The sequence below is a fragment of the Homo sapiens genome, chromosome 6, assembly GCF_000001405.40.
Source record: "Homo sapiens chromosome 6, GRCh38.p14 Primary Assembly".
In the NCBI taxonomy this organism is placed as follows: domain Eukaryota; kingdom Metazoa; phylum Chordata; class Mammalia; order Primates; family Hominidae; genus Homo; species Homo sapiens.
In genome coordinates, this window is record NC_000006.12 from 71352955 (window position 1) to 71373192 (window position 20238).

General features: G+C 38.4%; 3 annotated features.

The window, feature by feature from the left end:
* Nucleotides 8892-9381: an origin of replication, noted in NCBI's record as "reported as EcoRI/HincII fragment; promotes replication of a plasmid". NCBI's record gives the evidence for it as "EXISTENCE:genetic transformation evidence [ECO:0005027][PMID:7690594, PMID:10653986]".
* Nucleotides 8966-9378: an origin of replication, noted in NCBI's record as "site of nascent strand synthesis determined by PCR of size-fractionated nascent DNA". NCBI's record gives the evidence for it as "EXISTENCE:fractionation evidence [ECO:0000100][PMID:9356241]".
* Nucleotides 14393-15592: an enhancer, noted in NCBI's record as "MED14-independent group 3 enhancer chr6:72077050-72078249 (GRCh37/hg19 assembly coordinates)". NCBI's record gives its function as "activates an origin of replication core promoter dependent on BRD2, BRD4, P300/CBP and CDK7 cofactors, and independent of MED14, by STARR-seq in HCT116 cells {active_cell/tissue: HCT116}" and the evidence as "EXISTENCE:reporter gene assay evidence [ECO:0000049][PMID:35650434]".

Here is a 20238-nt window from a genome sequence, read left to right on the forward strand (position 1 = left end):
TCCTAAAGGCAACTAACTTGTTTTCTGATTTGTGCTTCCAGTGTTCCTTTCTGTAAAAATAGGCATTTATATAAATTTTAAAAATGTCCCTTCTTTTATACACAAAGTTAGCATACTATATATACATTTTTGCATTTTGCTTTTTTCCCCTTAATTAAGTCTCCCAGAAATCATTCCCTAACAGTAAATAGTGTTCCTCCTTATTCTGTCTTACAGCTGTATAGTACTCCATTTTCTGTATGTACCATAGTTTATTCAACCAATCTTCTATGCTCAACAATTATAAACAGTATTCTATGAATAACTTAATACCTATGTTTTTATAGTTTCATATTATTAAAGATATACATTTAAAATAAATTCATAGAGGGATTTCTGTGATGAGATTTGGGCATAGATAGTTGCTTATAGATGGCTAAATTCCTCTCCAGAGGAGTTGCACCTATCCATCAGCAAGTATGGCATTGCTGTTTCTCCACTGTCTCGTCAACAGAATGTGTTATCAAGCTTTTGAATTTTTGCCAACTTTTTCGGTGAAAAATGGAATTTCAATGTAGTTTTAATTTACATTTTTATGTGATTAAAATTACATATATTTTCATGTGATCAAGGGCTATTTTTATATCTTTTTGTTTCTTTCAATAGGATTTCTACAGGTCTTTTTCTATAGGATTTCTGTAGATCTTTTTTCCTTTTTTTTAGAAAGTTCTCAAATAAAGGAGTTAACCTTTTATCTGATATATGTTGTGACTATTTTCTCCCAGTTTGTCAGCTGTCTTTGACTTAGTGGTATTTTTCAGGCCATGTAAAATTTTTATTATGTAGTCAAATTTATCAGTCTTTTATTGTGTATGGGACCGTAGTCACACTTAGAAAGCTTTTCCTTATACACTGGTTTCAGAAGAATTCACTCATGGGGTGTTTTTTTTCTTTTTGGTACTTGCATAGTTTTACTTTTTATATTTAGATCTCTGATCCATTTGGAGTTTATTCTTGGGTGTGATGAAAGAAATGGATCTACCTTTATCTTTTTCCAAACAGCTATCCACTAGTCCCCACACTGTATAGTAAACAGAGCATTTTTGTCCGAGTGATTTTTGAGATACCACTTTTGTCATAAATTTTTATATGTAGCTGGATCTACTTCTGGAGGTTTATTTTACTCCCTTTATCTGACAGTTTATTCTTGTGCCAGTACTTACCATTTAATGAAAGAGCTTTGAAACACATTTTTATACCTGGGAGTAGTTCTGCCTTGCTCCCACTACCTCATCCCAGAGGTCTTCTTATTTAGTAGTTTCCTTGCTATTCTTGTGTTTGTTTTTTATATTTAATAAAACTAACTTTTAATTAATATGAAGATGGCTTTCATTATATCATCATTAATAAATCATACTAAGCCTAGATTTTGAGAACCACATTTATAAACAGAGGGGGTTGATAGCCATTTTATTCCTGACTGTGAAAAATATTTATTTAATCTCCATACAAGTTGAGTATACAAGCAAATTATTTCAGTTTAGTGCAGACTTGAAAAAACATTGATTTTATTGTTATTCCTAATATTTCCCTATTCTTAATCTTCATCTTTCACCAACACCACCATTCCCTCACCCAGCACCAAGGAAGGAAGGAACATGCTACTATCATGTTCTGATAGCTCCTGCTTCATAGACATGGAATCTGCAGTTGAAAACAAGGTTTTATCTTATCACTCTTTGTAACAATAGAACCCGCAAATGTATCCATTTATGGACCTAAAAATAATTTAACATAATTGTAGTCTACTGCTTCTGCCTTGGGATTGTTTCTACACTAAAGTGCCCCTACAGAAGGCCAGAGAATATTGACCCAACCCTGATTCCATCACGGTAATCATGCTAGTTGAAATTAGGGCAAGCAAAACTAAGGCCAATTTGACCTGCATTGAATCTATGATTCAAAAAATCTTATCTGTTAACTCCCAGTGGCCCAGGAAGGTCCATAAGGTTTTAAAATTCCAAATGCTATAGAAGTTATGTTTATCATAATAAGTTGTACATATTCATTTGTTTCTGGCATAAAATTAGCATATTAAAATTTATCTTCCCTATAAGGTTTCATCAAAAATTGACGCTTTTCTCCTTTAATTCTGGAAAAAGGTTTTGTAATCTCAGGGATAACCAGTTGGAATAGTTGATCAATAGGATTGCATACTTCACTGACACAGTCCAAAGCTTTAAAAAATGCAGCTCAAAAGATGTATTACACCAACTTAGATTCTCAATCTGATATGGCTGTGAAGCCAATGGACTGTTTCATGAAGGCTTAACTTTTCAATCAGAAAAGATTGCTCTACATGTTAGAGAACTTTTATTTTAGAAACTTTTGTGATTATTCTTAGTGTAGAAACTTTTATATATATATATATACTTTAAGTTCTGGGCTACATGTGCAGAACGTGCAGGTTTGTTACATAGTTATACACGTGCCATGGTGGTTTGCTGCACCCATCAACCTGTCATCTACATTAGGTATTTCTCCTAATGCTATCCCTCTCCTAGCCCCCCAGCCCCCAACAGGCCCCGGTGTGTGATGTTCCCCTCCCTGTGTCCATGTGTTCTCATTGTTCGACTCCCACTTATGAGTGAGAGCATGCAGTGTTTGGTTTTCTGTTCCTGTGTTAGTTTGCTGAAAATGATGGTTTCCAGCTTCATCCATGTCCCTGCAAAGGACATGAACTCATCCTTTCTATGGCTGCATAGTATTCCATGTGACATATTTTCTTTATCCAGTCTATCACAGATGGGAATTTGGGTTGGTTCCAAGTCTTTGGTATTGTGAATAGTGCTGCAATAAACACATGTGTGCATGTGTCTTTATAGTACAATGATTTATAATCCTTTGGGTATATATACCCAGTAATGGAATTGCTGGGTCAAATGGTATTTTTGGTTCTAGATCCTTGAGGAATTGCCACACTGTCTTCCACAATGGTTGAACTAATTTACACTCTCACCAACAGTGTAAAAGCGTTCCTATTTCTCCACATCTTCTCCAGCATCTGTTGTTTCCTGACTTTTTAATGATCACCATTCTAAGTGGCGTGAGATGGTATCTCATTGTGGTTTTGATTTGCATTTCTCTAATGACCAGTGACGATGAGCTTTTTTTCATGTTTGTTGGCTACATAAATGTCTTTTTTTGAGAAGTGTCTGTTCATATCCTTTGCCCATTTTTTGATCAGTGTTTTTGTTTTCTTCTAAATTTGTTTAAGTTCCTTGTAGATTCTCGACATTAGCCCTTTGTCAGGGGGATAGATTGCAAAAATTTTCCCCCATTCTGTAGGTTGCCTGTTCATTCTGATGATAGTTTCTTTTGCTGTGCAGAAGCTATTTAGTTTAATTAGATCCCATTTGTCAATTTTGGCTTTTGTTGCCATTGCTTTTGGTGTTTGAGTCATGAAGTCTTTGCCCATGCCTATGTCTTGAATGATATTGCTTAGGTTTTCTTCTAGGGTTTTTATAGTTTTGGGTCTTACATTTAAGTCTTTAATCCATCTTGAGTTAATTTTTGTGTAAGGTGTAAGGAAGGGATCCAGTTTCAGTTTTCTGCATATGGCTAGCCAGTTTTCCCAACACCATTTATTAAATAGGGAATCCTTTCCCCATTGCTTGTTTGTGTCAGGTTTGTCAAAGATTAGATGGTTGTAGATGTGTGGCTCTATTTCTGAGGCCTCTGTTCTGTTCCATTGGTCTATATATCTGTTTTGGTACCAGTACCATGCTGTTTGGTTACTGTAGCCTTGTAGTATAGTTTGAAGTCAGGTAGCGTGATGCCTCCAGCTTTGTTCTTTTTCCTTACGAATCTATTGGCTATATGGGGTCTTTTTTGGTTCCATATGAGATTTAAAGTAGCTTTTTCTAATTCTGTGAAGACAGTCAATGGTAGCTTGATGGGGATAGCACTGAATCTATAAATTACTTTGGGTAGTATGGCCATTTTCACGATATTGATTCTTCCTATCCATGAGCATGGAATGTTTTTCCATTCGTTTCTGTCCTCTCTTATTGCCTTGAGCAGTGGTTTGTAGATCTCCTTGAAGAGGTCCTTCACATCCTTTGTAAGTTGGATTCCTAGGTATTTTATTCTCTTTGTAGCAATTGTGAATGGGAGTTCACTCATGATTTCACTCTGTGCTTGTCTATTATTGGTGTATAGGAATGCTAATGATTTTTGCACATTGATTTTGTATCCTGACACTTTGCTGAAGTTGCCTATCAGCTTAAGAAGATACTGGGCTGAGACGGTGGGGTTTTCTAAATATAACAATCATGTCATCTGCAAACAGAGACAATTTGACTTCCTCTCTTCCTATTTGAATACTCTTTATTTCTTTCTCTCGCCTGACTGCCACGGACAGAACTTCCAATACTATGTTGAATAGGAGTGGTGAGAGAGGGCATCCTTGTCTTGTGCCAGTTTTCAAAGGGAATGCTTCCAGCTTTTGCCCACTCAGTATATCGGCTGTGGGTCTGTCATAAATAGCTCTTATTATTTTGAGATACGTTACATCAACACCTAGTTTATTGAGAGTTGTTAGCATGAAGGGGTTTTGAATTTTATCGAAGGCTTTTTCTGCATCTATTGAGATAATCATGTGGTTTTTGTCATTGGTTCTGTTTATGTGATGAATTACGTTTACTCATTTGCGTATGTTGAACACATCCCTTGCATCCCAGGAATGGAGACGACTTGATTGTGGTGGATAAGTTTTTTAATGTGCTGCTGGATTCGCTTTGCCAGTATTTTATTGAGGATTTTCGCATCAATTTTCATCAGGGATATTGAACTAAAATTTTCTTTTTTTGTTTTCTCTGCCAGGTTTTGGTATCAGGATGATGCTGTCCTCATAAAATGAGTTAGGGAGGCATCCCTCTTTTTCTGTTATTTGGAATTTTACTAGCTCCTCTTTGTATCCCTGGTAAATGGTAGTAGCTCCTCTTTGTACCCCTGGTAAAATTCGGCTGTGAATCCATCTTGTTCTGGGCTCTTTTTGTTTGGTAGGCTATTAATTACTGCGTCAATTTCAGAACTTGTTATTGGTCTATTCAGGGATTCGACTTCTTCCTGGTTTAGTCTTGGGAGGATGTATGTGTCGGGGAATTTATTCATTTCTTCTAGATTTTCTAATTTATTTGCATAGAGGTGTTTATAGTATTCTCTGATGGTAGTTTGTATTTCTGTGGGATTAGTGGTGACATCCCCTTTATCATTTTTTATTGCGTCTATTTGATTCTTCTCTTTTCTTCTTTAATCAGTCTGGCTAGCAGTCTATCTATTTTGTTAATCTTTTAAAAAACCAGCTCCTGGATTCATTAATTTTTTGAAGGGCTTTTTGTGTCTCTATCTCCTTCAGTTCTGCTCTGATCTTAGTTATTTCCTGTCTTCTGCTAGCTTTCGAATTTGTTTGATCTTGCTTCTCTAGTTCTTTTAATTGTGATGTTAGGGTGTTGATTTTAGATCTTTCCTGCTTTCTCCTGTGGGCATTTAGTGCTATAAATTTCCCTCTACATACTGCTTTAAATGTGTCCTAGAGATTCTGGTACATCACGTCTTTGTTCTCATTGGTTTCAAAGAACTTACTTATTTCTGCCTTAATTTCGTTATGTACCCAGTAGTCATTCTTTGTTTAGTTTCCATGTAGTTGTGTGGTTTTGAGTGAGTTTCTTAATCCTGAGTTCTAATTTGATTGCACTGTGGTCTGAGAGGCTGTTTGTTATGATTTCCATTCTTTTGCATTTGCTGAGGAGTGTTTTACTTCCAATTATGTGGTTAATTTTAGAATAAGTGCAATGTGGTGCTGAGAAGAATGTATATTCCATTGATTTGGGGTGGAGAGTTCTGTAGATGTCTATTAGGTCCGCTTGGTCCAGAGCTGAGTTCAAGTCCTGAATATCTTTGTTAATTTTCTGTCTCGCTGATCTGTCTAATATTGACAGTGGGGTGTTAAAGTCTCCCACTATTATTGTGTGGGAGTCTAAGTCTCTTTGTAGGTCTCGAAGAACTTGCTTTATGAATCTGGGTGCTCCTGTATTGGGTGCATATATATTTAGAAGAGTTAGCTCTTCTTGTTGCATTGATCCCTTTACCATTATGTAATGCCCTTCATTGTCTTTTTTGATCTTTGTTGGTTTAAAGTCTGTTTTACCAGAGACTAGGATTGCAACCCGTTTTTTTTTTTCCCTTCCATTTGCTTGGTAGATATTCCTCCATCTCTTTATTTTGAGCCTAAGTGTGTTTCTGCACGTGAGTTGGGTCTCCTGAATACAGCACACCAATGGGTCTTGACTCTATCCAATTTGCCAGTCTGTGTCTTTTAATTGGGGCATTTAGCCCATTTACATGTGTGGATTTGATCCTGTCATTATGATGCTAGCTGGTTATTTTGCCCGTTAGTTGATGCAGTTTCTTCACAGTGTCGATGGTCTTTACAGTATGTTTTTGCAGTAGCTGGTACCGGTTTTTCCTTTCCATATTTAGTGCTTCCTTCAGCAGCTCTTGTAAGGCAGGCCTGGTGGTAACAAAATATCTCAGCACTTGCTTGTCTGTAAAGGATTTTATTTCTTCTTTGCTATGAAGCTTAGTTTGGCTGGATATGAAATTCTGGGTTGAAAATTCTTTTCTTTAAGAATGTTGATTATTGGCCCCCACTCTCTTCTGGCTTGTAGGGTTTCTGCAGAGAGACTGGCTGTTAGTCTCAGGGGCTTCCCTTTCTGGGTAACCTGACCTTTCTCTCTGGCTGCCCTTAACATTTTTTCCTTCATTTCAACCTTGGTGAATCTGACAATTATGTGTCTTGGGGTTGCTCTTCTCGAGGAGTATCTTTGTGGTGTTTTCTGTATTTCTTGAATTTGAATGTTGGTCTGCCTTGCTAGGTTGGGGAAGTTCTCCTGGATAATATCTTGAAGAGTGTTTTCCAACTTGGTTCCATTCTCCCTGTCACTTTCAGGTACATCAATCAAATGTAGGTTTGGTCTTTTCACAAAGTCCCATATTTCTTGGATGCTTTGTTCATTCTTTTTCATTCTTTTTTCTGTAAACTTGTCTTCAGGCTTTATTTCATTAAGTGCATGTTCAACCTCTGATATCCTTTCTTCTGCTTGATTAATCTGGCTATTGATACTTGTGTATGCTTCATGAAGTTCTTGTGCTGTTTTTTTCAGCTCCATCAGGTCATTTATGTTCTTCTCTAAACTGGTTATTCTAGTTAGCAATTCCTCTAACCTTTTTTCAAGGTTCTTAGCTTCCTTGCATTGGGTTAGAACATGCTCCTTTAGCTCAGAGGAGTTTGTTATTACCCACCTTCTGAAGCCTACTTCTGTGAATTCGTCAAACTCATTCTCTGTCTAGTTTTTTTCCCTTGCTGGCAAGGAGTTGTGATCCTTTGGAGGAGAAAAGGCGTCCTGGTTTTTGGTATTTTCAGCCTTTTTGCACTGGTTTTTCCCCATCTTCTTGGATTTATCTACCTTTGGTCTTTGATGTTGGTGACCTTCAGATAGGGTTTTTGTGTGGACATCCTTTTGTTGATGTTGATGCTCTTCCTTTCTGTTTGTTAGTTTTCCTTCAAACAGTCAGGCCCCTCTGCTGCAGGTCTGCTGGAGTTTGCTGGAAGCCAACTCCAGACCCTGTTTGTCTGGATGTCACCAGCAGAGGCTGCAGAACAGCAAAGATTGCTGCCTGGTCCTTCCTCTGGAAGCTTTGTCCCAGAGGGCCACCCGCCAGATGCCAGCCAGAGCTCTCCTGTATGAGGTGTCTGTTGACCCCTGCTGGGAGGTGTCTCCCAGTCGGGAGGCACGGGGGTCATGGATCCACGTGAGGAGGCAGTCTGTCCCTTAGCAGAGCTTGAGTCCTATGTTGGGAGATCTGCTGCTCTCTTCAGAGCCAGCAGGCAGAAACATTTAAGTCTGTTGAAGCTGCACCCACAGCCGCCCCTTCCCCCAGGTGCTCTGTCCCAGGGAGATGTGAGTTTTATCTATAAGCCCCTGACTGGGGCTGCAGCCTTTGTTTCAGAGATGTCCTGCCCAGAGAGGAGTAATCTAGAGAGGCAGTCTGGCTACAGCAGCTTTGTTGAGCTGCAGGGGGCTCCACTCAGTTCGAACTTCCTGGAGGCTTTGTTTATACTGTGAGGGGAAAACTGCCTACTCAAGCTTCAGTAATGGTGGACACCCCTCCCCCCACCAAGCTCCAGCACCCCAGGTCGACTTCAGACTGCTGTGCTGGCAGCAAGAATTTCAAGCCAGTGGATCTTAGCTTGCTGGGATCTGTGGGGGTGGGATCCGCTGAGCTGGACCACTTGGCTCCCTGGCTTCAGCCCCCTTTCCAGGGGGGTAAACGGTTCTGTCTTGCTGGCGTTCCAGGCACCACTGGGGTATGAAAAGAAACAAAACAAAACAAACAGCAGCTAGCTCAGTGTCTGCCCAGATGGCCACCCAGTTTTGTGCTTGAAACCCAGGGCCCTGGTGGTGTAGGCACCTGAGGGAATCTCTTGATCTGCAGGTTGCGAAGACCATGGGAAAAGCGAAGTATCTGAGCCGGAATGTACCATTTCTCACAGCACAGTCCCTCACAGCTTCCCTTGGCTAGGAGAGGGAATTCCCCGACCCCTTGCACTCCCTGGGTGAGGCAAAGCCCCACCTTGCTTCAGCTTGCCCTCCGTGGGCTGTACCCACTGTCTAACCAGTCGCAATGAGATGAGCCAGGTACCTCAGTTGTAAATGCAGAAATCACCCGCCTCTGTGTTGATATCACTGGGAGCTGCAGATGAGAGCTGTTCCTATTCTGTCATCTTGCCCAGGTCTGGTGTTAAAACTTTTAAGCATTTTATTAGTTATTTGAATGTCTTCTTTTGTGAATTAGCATTTATTTTCCCATTTTTCTACTAAAGTCTATCTTAATGATGTATGCCTCAGATATTATGACAATAAATCCTCTCTGTGTCTTAAGTTTGCAGGTCTTTCCCCAAATTATGTGTTTTCATATTTTGTTTGGCATATTCAGATAGGTAAGGTTTTAATTATCTTTATATTAGTCCATTTTCTTGTGGATTTTAAAATATTGCTCTAATGCTTGGAAGGTTCTCCTCCATCTTCAGATGACATAAACATACACCTATTTGGCCTTTTGAAAATATTTAACTCTTTAATCTAGCTACAATTTACTTTGCAATATAATATAAAGATCTAACATTTTCCCCCAGTAGTTAATCAACTGTCCTAGTACTATTTATCAAATAGTTTATTCTTTATCTATTGGTTTATAGCTATCTATATCATATACATGATTTTATTTGTAGGCTCTCTTTTCCATTTCACTAATGTGTTTGTCTATACCTGAGTCAACACTGTGTCATTTTAATTATTGTAACTTTGAAGAACTTTTCAATATCTGGGTATGGCTTGTCTCCTTCAATATAATTTTGTCAAAACCTTCTTGACTGTTTTTACCTATTGTTTTCTCACCTATTTTTTTAAAACTAAATTAACTTTGGTGGGATATGGTTTGGATGTGTCTCCATCCAAATCTCATCTTGAATTGTAGCTCCCCTAATTCCCATGTGTTGTGGGAAGGATCCGTTAGGAGACAATTTAATCATGGGGGCAGTTCCCCCATAATGTTGTTCTTGTGGTAGTGGGTAAGTCTCATGAGATCTGATGGCTTTAGCAGGGGTTTCCCCTTTCACTTGGCTCTTATTCCCTCTTGCCTGCCACCACGTAAGACGTGTCTTTCACCTTCCACCATGATTGTGAGGCCTCCCCAGCTACGTGGAACTATGAGTTCATTAAAACTTTTTTCCTTTATAAATTATCCAGTCTCAGGTATGTCTTTAATTAGCAGCATGAGAACAGACTAATACACAGTGTAATCAATTATTTGTCCAGAACGTATCACATGCATTCATTTCATGTTTGTACCAGGAGTTTGTGGTCTCAGCAGAGTCGGTAGTTTTCTTCATGTTGGTCTTCATGTAATACTTGTATGTTCCTGTAGGTCAGAGGTTAAGTTGGCTTGCTTGGTTTTCTGCTCTGGTTTCACAATGTTGAAATCAAGGTGTCATCAGGGTTGCAGTGTTTTCTATCTCTTAACAATCCTTAATTCTTAGGTCCTGTATAGTTTCATTTGTTCTCCTTGTGGATCTTATGTTTATTTGAGGGATGTGAGGAGGAGATTTGGAATCAGGATACTGTTACTGTTTTTTTTTTGTTTTGTTTTTTGTTTTTTGAGACAGGCTCTCACTCTGTCACCCAGGCTGGAGTGCAGTGGCACAATCTTGGGTCACTGCAACATCTGCCACCTGGGTTCAAATGAGTCTCCTGCCTCAGCCTCCTGAGTAGCTGGGATTACAGTTGTCTGCCACTGCATCCAGCTAATTTTTGTAGTTTTAGTAGAGATGGGGTTTCATCATCTTGGCCAGGCTGGTCTTAAACTCCTGACCTTATGATTCACCCGCCTCGACCTCCCAAAGTGCTGGGATTACAGGCGTGGGCCACCACGCTGGCCCTGTATTGTTCTTTAACTTCATTTTAATTTTTCTAACAGCTTTGTAAGTTATTATCACCCCTCAGTCCATTAAATGAGAGAAAACTGAGGCCCATAGAAGTTAAGTGCTACTCAAGAATGAGGTAAGTGGTACACCTGCGATTTGCTGATACACATTTAATAAAATTTCAGGGTTGAAGAAACTAACATTTCCATTGCTCAGTGGCTACTGAAATTCCTGCTCGAATATTTCCAGTAATAAGGGACTCACTGCCTCCAAATGAGCCTGCTTCATTTTTGGATTCTCTAAATATGGCTAAAAATTATGTTGTATTGAATTCTGCTTCTATGTATCTTCAAGGGTTGGAGCAAACAAAGTTTAAATCTAAGCCTCTATCCTTGCTCTAGTCCTTTATTATTGAAGACAGCAATGCACCATGGTTTTCCATAATACATTTTTAATTTAATTTTTTTTAAGAGATGAGGTTTTGCCATGTTTCCCACGCTGAAATGCAGTGGTCATTCACAGGCACAATCGTAGCACACTGCAGCCTCAAAATCCTGGCCTCAAGTTTCCTCAGTATCTGTGATTGGCTCAATCATACATTTTCGAGTGCCCTTCATCAAATGGCCACATTGTTTTAGACATGCCCTGCTTTACTTATACCTCTATTGTGCAGTAATGAACACAGAACTACTTGGAAAATGCCAACTTAAAATAAAGTAGGCAGTTTGTTGTCCTACTTTGAAAATTATATCCTGTGTAGCATGTTTTGGGGTGTGGTGTATGTGTCTACGATCGCATACAGGTTGTATTCGTTTTTTGGAACATCATGTCACTCTGTGGGCCACATAGGTAGTGGTTAGGAAAATTCACAAGTCTTTTTCCACATGTGATGGTAAGTCACATGTCCCCCATGAAGTCCTTGTGCAATTAGCTGTCTGACTCCAGGAGCTGGACTTCCATATTTATACCAATTCAATTTCTTTGTATCCAACCCTGCCCATCCTTTCAGGCTGCTGAGATTTCACTTGGACCTTGATTCATCTACTGTAACACTGTTTGCTTCTTTTAAAAAATAAATCATAATTCCAACAATGTTTTCATTTTAATAAAAATTAAAATGTGGTGTAGGACAGGATTGAAAGCAGAGTCCTGTTGCTTGCCACCCAAATCCTCCCTCTAAATTGATGATTTTTAAAGCAGTACTTTTAAAGCTATGTGACACACTATTGGTAGACTATAACCCATTTTCTTTTAGCCATTTAACATTTATGCATGCACATCTACCTGAAAATGTAGCCAAATATTTGAGGATCTTATAAAACTTAGGATTTTTATTTCAGATAAATGGGTCAAACAATCTTCTCTTTCAATACACTGTCTTCATTCTTTCCCTGCCTTTCTACCCCCTACCCTAGTCCATTTCTCAAAGAATAAAATCCACATAGGTACCTTTTAATAGGTTCCATTGTTTCATTTGAGTATCACCAGTGTACATAATGTCACATGCTTTCTATTAGCTCTTTCTCAGCATGTATTGGCATTTTAATTTTACCTTAATTTTTTTCTCTTCTCCTTAGGCAGGATAACAATCCATTTGCCAGTTGGCTGCCTGTATGTTCCTAATAATAGACTATGACCTAATCGCAAGTATATTCACTGAACATGGGGGACTTACCACCTACAGTGGGGGCATAAAAAGATTATTTCTAATTAAGATAGCAATGAGAATATTTCATAGGAATTTATCTCCTGTAAAATTCTTCTACAGTAATATACATCCACATAAGCTCAATACAGTGAAAGACCACATTGTTCTAAATGGAAGGTCAATATTTTTTTTAACGAAAGCTTGTCGTATTTAGATTTATATCAAATCCCTGCTCGCAAAACAAATAGAACAACAAAAAGCCTGAACACTTACTGTAATTAAGTAGATATTAGACTAAACACAGGACCTACTGGAAGAGCTACACTTTACACAGGAGTGTAAGTTTCATCTAAGCTTTATTTGCTAGTTGTTATTACCAACAGAAAATGATGATGCTGTTCAAGTCACCAAGAAGGGCTTCATCCCTTTAAGATTCAAAAAAGTTTCATGTCTTTAGATTTTAGAAAAAAATGATATAGCAAAAGTAATCTGTATACTAATTTGTATATTAACTGCAGTGGTGGTTACAAGAATCTATGCATGTAATAACATGGTGTAGAACTACACACACACACACACACACACACACACACACACACACAATTGTACCAATGTCAGTTTCCTGGTCTTGCTACTGTGCTGTAGCAAATGTTGTAAAATGTGACCACTGGGGGAACCTGGGTGAAAGGTACATAGGATCTCTCCAAACAATTTTTGCAACTTCCTATAAATCTATAATTATTTCTAAATTAAAATAAAAACATCCCAATCCTACATAATCTATTCACTGTATAGTTCATCCCAAAAAAGTTAGCTTAGTATCATTTAACCAATATTTGCCAAGGTTAAACATAACTTTATTGCCTTTAGTCATTTCTAGAATGAGGCAGGATTATAAACAAATAATCTACTTTATGAGTCACTGAATGCTTAGGAATTTTGTGATTAAATGAATAAAGTAAACTTATAAAGTGAAAGTAACCAAACAGTCAATTTTCAGCAAGTAAAAGAAAGAGAGAATCCCAACTCTAAAAAATTAGGCCTGCTAATTAAGCGGTTAAAGCCTTCTTTTTGTTTTTTCCATATTACATGAACATGTATTGCCCCATAGGTCATTCCATAATCAAATAATGGAAAAAGCAAGGTTCTCAGAATCTTCTATTCATTTAGTTTCAGGAAGATACTCCTCAGGAAAGACTCAGAGTTGCATGTGATTCTCTGTTGTTCACTGTCATGATAGTCAATGCTATCCAGCTAACCTGTTGAGCATACTCAGCTGGTAGATTGGGAAATCCCCACAATTCTAAATTTAAACATATGAACCCGGATAATTTGGTGTTGTGTACATAAAGTGATTTTATATATATATGAAACCGACCCAATAGTCCCCTAGACAGTTTTTTTTGGATAAACATAGAAATTGCCCATCTGGTTTTAAAATTTGAAACTTACATTTGTTTTATCAGAGTTCCTTCCTCAGGAAACCACATTCAGACCTCTCAAAAGAAAAAGAAAATTAAAGAACTGAAACTCACCAGATCACCACATCCAGACAATGAGATGCCAGACCCTTCATTCATCATGATTGCTTCGTTACCCCTCCTCTCTAGTTCTTGTTTTCTTACACATTGTTACATAGCAGGGAAGACCCTGCTATATAAACCCCTAGTTTTAGTTGGTCAGGGAGATGGATTTGGGACTGAGCTCCCATCTCCTTGGCTGCAGCATCAGATTAAAGCCTTCTTCCTTGGCAGTACTCTTCGTCTCAGTCACTGGCTTTCTGTGCAGCAAGCGGCAGGACCCAGATGAACCCATGGCGTTTCAGTAACATACATACATATATATATATATATATATATATATATATATATATATATATATATATATGGATGATGGAATTACTTTACAGAATGTCTGAGTGACAACCTAAAAAAGGGTGAACTCTTGTAGCAGCTCACACCATGAAAACTATAAGCACAGTGAGAAATATGAGTAACATTTAGGACATATTAGCATTCTTTAGCTAACATTATTGCTGACGGTTGTTTGCTAGAACTTGAATCTCGGGATTAAGCAAGCCAGGAAAATTTCTCCTAATCCTGCAGATCATCATATTAAAGCTCCAGACCAAACATGTAGGCCAGAGAATGACAGATTTTTCCTCTACATTTTCTTAATCTTAATCTTAGACTAACCATAGACATCAGATTGAATTTTTTAGGCACTTTCATTACTATCATAAAATTAAAAGGCAAGCAAAAGAATGAAATTTGGGTTCCTGCAGGTCATATGATACCAAAAGAGAGGAAATAAATGAAAAAACCATGGATTGTTAAGTCAGAGAGCCCTCGATTCCAGATAAATACCTGGCACCAACAAGCTTAAGAGTGTGTGAAAGATATTTAGGCAAATTAAGTTAGACAAGATTACGTGTGGTTACAAATAGTCTCCTTCCTCCAACCCTGCCTTGAATCTCAGAAGTTTATCAATTAACCAATGTGTCCAACAGCAGTCAGCAGAGGGGCACTATCCAGTCTAGTCACTCAAGGATCAAGGTGACAAAGCCTCCGTCTTGAAAAACCTCTCACCAACACAGAAGGAAGGGCACACAAGCTCTTAATACTTCCCTGGCTCTTCTGTTCACATTTCATTGATGAAAACAAGTCACACAGCCACACCTAACCTCAGAAGATGTAGAGAAGTGCAATTGATAGAGGCAGGACACAGCCACATCTCCAACCCGACCCACAAGTCTTTACACCAGATGCTTTGTGCAGATATGGGAGCCAGCACAGGGGGCTTGTCTGGGCATGCCCCACAACCACTAGGAGAATGGGTGGAGCCACCAGGAATTCATGAATTATGAGGGGAAAGAGCCTGGCCTCTTCAACTCACGTGTGGTGGCCTGCCATTCAATTTTTGTGAGGTGGAAACCTGCATGAAGGACCCCTCTCTTTGTTGGGAGCTTTCTTTTCACTTAATAAATTCCATCCTCCTCAGTCTTCGATGTCTCTGTGTGCCTAATTTTTCCTGGTTGTAAGACAAGAACTGGATTTAGCTAAACTAAGGAGCAAAAAATCCTGTATCACAATCTTCTCATGTGCCAGAGGAGAACGGGAAGATTCATAAACAACTCCAGTTACTACCACATTTTCTTAAATCCTTCAACTTCAGTTTCCTGCCCTGGAAAATTAAGACGATGATACCTAACTTAGAGGATACTTGTGTTTATCACTTCATGGTCATGATCAGACCTCTGGTGCCACACTGCCTAGGCTGAAATCCCAGTTTTAAGGCTCGTTAGCATAACCTTGGGCAGTTTTCTTAATCTCTTTCATCTCAGATTCCTCATCTGAAAAATAATGTTCATGCATATTGAACTGTGAGGATTAAATCTGTTAATATAAGCCAAATGTTTAGAATAGTGCCCTGTACATAGTAAGGACACTAAGTATTTGCTCTTGACCCCTGGCATGGCTTTGGAATGTACAGAATCCTCAGTGATTATTGGTTATCTGATTATTATTACTATAATAGAAGCCTGGCTTGCTGCTGCCCGTCATTGACTTACTAAATACCTGTGAAAGGAAAGTCAGCAAAAAAAAAAAAAAATCAGATTCCACAAAATGAGTTGGAATATATTATGTAGAATTGAAAGGTTCACTGAAGTATAAGTTTAGCAATAAGCACAACAGGGGTAGTCCCCACAAAATTAGAAGCTTCCTGAGGTGGGAGCATCTAGTTGCTTGCTACTGATGTCCAATGCTAAGACTGAGCTGAGTATTCGTGGAGTGGGATGGGTTGAAATGGCCCAGAATAGTTGCAGCGATTGCACTGTAATTAAAAATGTCTAATTGGAGCTATAGGAAGGCAAGCAGAGACTGGCTTCTTCAGCACACTCATACAACTGGGCTAGCTCCAACATTAAAACTATTTTTAAATTCAAAGGTGGTTTTTATTATATATTTATTTTCATTTTTTTATTTTTTTGAGACGGAGTCTTGCTCTGTCACCCAGGCTGGAGTGCAATGGCAGGATCTCCACTCACTGCAAGCTCCGCCTCCCAGGTTCACCCCATTCTCCTGCCTCAGCCTCCCGAATAGCTGGGACTACAGGCGCCCACCATCATGCCTGGCTAATTTTTTGTATTTTTTTTTTTTTAGTAGAGACAGGGTTTCACCATGTTAGCCAGGATGGTCTCGATCTCCTGACCTCGTGATCTGCCCACCTTAGCCTCCCAGAGTGCTGGGATTTTACAGGCGTTAGCCACCACGCCCGGCCAAAGGTGGTTTTTAAAAATGTGGAATTTTATTTGTCTTCATAGGAACACCTAACCCTAGTGTTGAAAGCTTTTTAGTACAGCCAGAAATTCACGGCTTTCAAGTGACTGAATTATATGGTGAAGTCCTGGATGTTATCAGATTCTCAAATAATGGGCATTACCAAACTACAGAAATAACTAATCTACTCGATGAAACTTGGAGGTTAAAATAAAAAGTATTTTTCTCCCTGGGCCAAAAAGAAGTATTTTAAAGCCATACTTGGCTTTTTGATGACAAAGCTTTTGATGAATTCAAAATTACAGAATGTTTCTAGACACTTTAAAGTCACAGGGCATTTAAAAAGTCAGTTTTAAGGTAATTTTTTATTCTTTAATTGTGGTTAAGATCATCCAGACCATCATATTTATCTCAGACATGCAAACTAGTATACTACAGAGATGTGTTAAACTGAAGACATAAATGTATGTATAGTTCAAATATTCCTAGAAGTAAATGATAACTTTAAGAATGTTCATCCTGGTGAGGGCACTGTTATTTTGTTCAAAACTATTTCTTGTTGAATGAGACTATTCCAAGCCTCATAGGAGTGGCATTCTGCAGTTACTGTGACAAGCAAAAATGCCTGCACACTGCACACATTTCTAAACACTACTGTGGGACTGTACTGTCTCCAGAAGAGACGCTTCAAGGGGACTTTGTTAGCATACGTGCCTTGCTGAAGGAATCACGGTTTTTGAGTTTGGGTTGAATATTTTTAAAGTTTCTTAGTTCAGGCTGGTTGAAACTTTTTCTTTCTTTCTTTTTTTTGGGGGGGGCAAGATCTCACTGTCACCCAAGTGGGAATGCAGTGGCACAATCACAGCTCATTGTAGCCTCGATCTCCCAGGCTCAAGAGATCCACCTGCCTCATTTCTCATTTTTTGTAGAGACAAGGTCTCACTATGTTGCCCAGGCTGGTCCTGAACTCCGGGGCTCAAGAAATCCTCCCGCCTTGGCCTCCCAAAGTGCTGGGATTAGGGGTTTGAGCCACCGGTGTCCGGACAAAGCTTTTTTTTTTCTCCATAATAAAAGGAAATTTTAAAAGACACTTTTAGCACCACAAAATTCTTTTGTCCAAAGAAAAAGCAAAAACTAATCATAATAGCCATTCTAGAAATTAAAAATATGAACAGTAAGTGCATAATCTATTCATATTCTTGATTCTGAGGAAATCTTACATTCAACAAATATGATAGTAGAGGGCTTATGTTTTTCTGTCCCAATCCTGGGTTACCTGACTATAGAAAAGATTAAAGAATCAGAGTCAGAAGCTGGCAGTGTCTCCTTCAGTCCTCCTGCGGCTCTACCGAGAGCCTATATAACCCTGGGTAAGCCAGTTAACCGTGTTTTGACCTCTTTCTTACAACGTGGGTAAGTGAGGCAATGCAGCAACATGGCAACAGCCGAATGCCCTTTAACATCAGCCTTTTTTCTCCTCATCTTTCAGTAATTTCGTTACTTGCCAGAAAATGAGGTGGACTGGTAGCTTTTGAGGGAAGTGATGTTCTAGAAGACAGTATACACTGCAGTATTTTGGAGAAAAGAGAATGTTTGCTGAAACGTCTCTTTGCTTATGGATAGCGTAATCTTTTATGCCAGTTTCAGAGAACGTTCCTCAAGATATGTGCTGTTGCTATGTTTTTAGAGAAAGATGATCTGGGATAAAGTTTCTCTTAGTGACTGCTGGAATAAGAGTTTTACCTGCCTTATTTAAGACCAGATAATACAGCGTTTTTTTTTTTAATTTTAGAAACTTTTAATTAAAGTATAACATACAATCAGAAAAGTGCATGAGTCACCATAGATATGTATCACCATAGATAACTATAGTTTTGCCTGTTTTTGAAATTAATGTAAATAGAAACATACGGTATGTTCTCTTCAGTGTCTGGTTTATTTTGTCCAACTTTATGTTTGTGAGATGCACTTATATCAGAAGTTGCAAATCATTCATTCTCAGTGCTAGATAGTATTCTGTTGTACGAATATTTCACAATTTACGAATCCTACTGTTGGCATTTGGATAATTCCTGATTTGGGGCTATTACAAATAGTGCTGCTATGAACATTCTTATTCATTTCTTCTGAAGAACACTGTGCAAATTTCTGTGAGGTAGGTAACAGCAACTGGGTCACAGGATATGGATCTGTTCAGCGTAAGTAGAGACCACTAAGAAGTTCTCTAAAGTGGCTGTACCAACTTATGCTTTCATCTGCAGTGTTACTCCACCTCCTTGCCAATACCAGATTTTTTTGTCTTTTTAATTTTACCCATTCTAGTAGTTGTGTCTTGCCATTGAGCTGTGATTTCATTTGCACTTATTTGATGACTAATAAGGTTGAGCAACTTTTTATGTTAATTGATCATCTACATATCCTCTCTGGTGAATTATCTGTTCAAATCTTTGCTCATTTTTCTACTGGGTTGCTTGTGTTTTCTAATTAATTTATAGGAATTCTTTATATATACTGGATATAAGTTGTTTGTTATATGTGTTGCTAATACCTCCTCTGGTATATTTTGCCTTTTCATTTTCTTAATGTTGTCTTTTGATGAACAGAAGTTCTTGGTATTATAATCCAAATTACCAGTTTTTTCTCTTTCTGGTTGGTGTTGTGTTGGGAGTTTTTTAAGGGAATTTTGCCCACTCCAAGGTCATAAGGATATTCTATATATTACTTCCTAGAAGCCTTGTTTTACCTTTCGTATTAGGATCCATAGACCATCCTGTCTCCAGTGTACTTCAGTATCATCTTTATCATAATAGTGTGTCTATTCTATTTATCATTTATCTGTTGTGTATCTGTCTGCCATTGTGCCAATATCACACTCTCATCATTACTATGGCTTTGTAACAGATCTTGATATGTGGAAGCATAATTTCTCCATCTTTTTTTCAAGATTATCTTGTCTAGCTTTTGCTGTTTGAATTCTAAATTTTAGAATCAGTTTATTAATTTCCAAACATACACCTGCTTACATTTTGATTGGGACTGTACTGAATCTACAGATCAACTTGGGGAGAATTAGCCACTTAACAATACTGAGTCCTGTTCTCTATGAACATGGTTTATCTCTCCATTTATTCAGGTCTTCTATAATTTATCTCAATAATATTTAGTTTCCAGTGCGGAGGTCTTATGCATCGTCTGTTAGATTTCCCCTTGGGCATTTGATAGTTTTTAATGTTATTATAAGAAGTATCTTTTAAAAATTTTCATTTTTATTTGTTTGTTGCTGATATATAGATATACAACTGATTTTTATATATTAACCATATAGTTTTCCAATGATAAAGTTAACCAAAATAACACCTAAAACCCAATTTTGTAATTAATAACCTGCTTTCTGCTATTTTAAAATGATGACAGCAGGCCGGGAGCAGTGGCTCATGGCTGTAATCCCAGCAGTTTGGGAGGCCAAGGCAGGTGGATCATCTGAGGTCAGGAGTTTGAGACCAGCCTGGCCAACATGGTGAAACCCCGTCTCTACTAAAAATACCAAAATTAGCCGGGCATGGTGGCGGGCGCCTGTAGTCCCAGCTATTTGGGAGGCTGAGGCGGAAGAATTGCTTGAAGCCGGGAGGGGGAGGTTGCAGTGAGGTGAGATCACGCCATCGCACTCCAGCCTGGGCGACAAGAGCGTGACTCTGTCTCAAAAAAAAAAAAAAAAAGAGAGAGAGAGCAGAATTATATTTACATTTATAGAAATCTAAGCCAGAGTAGTTTATAGAAATATATCA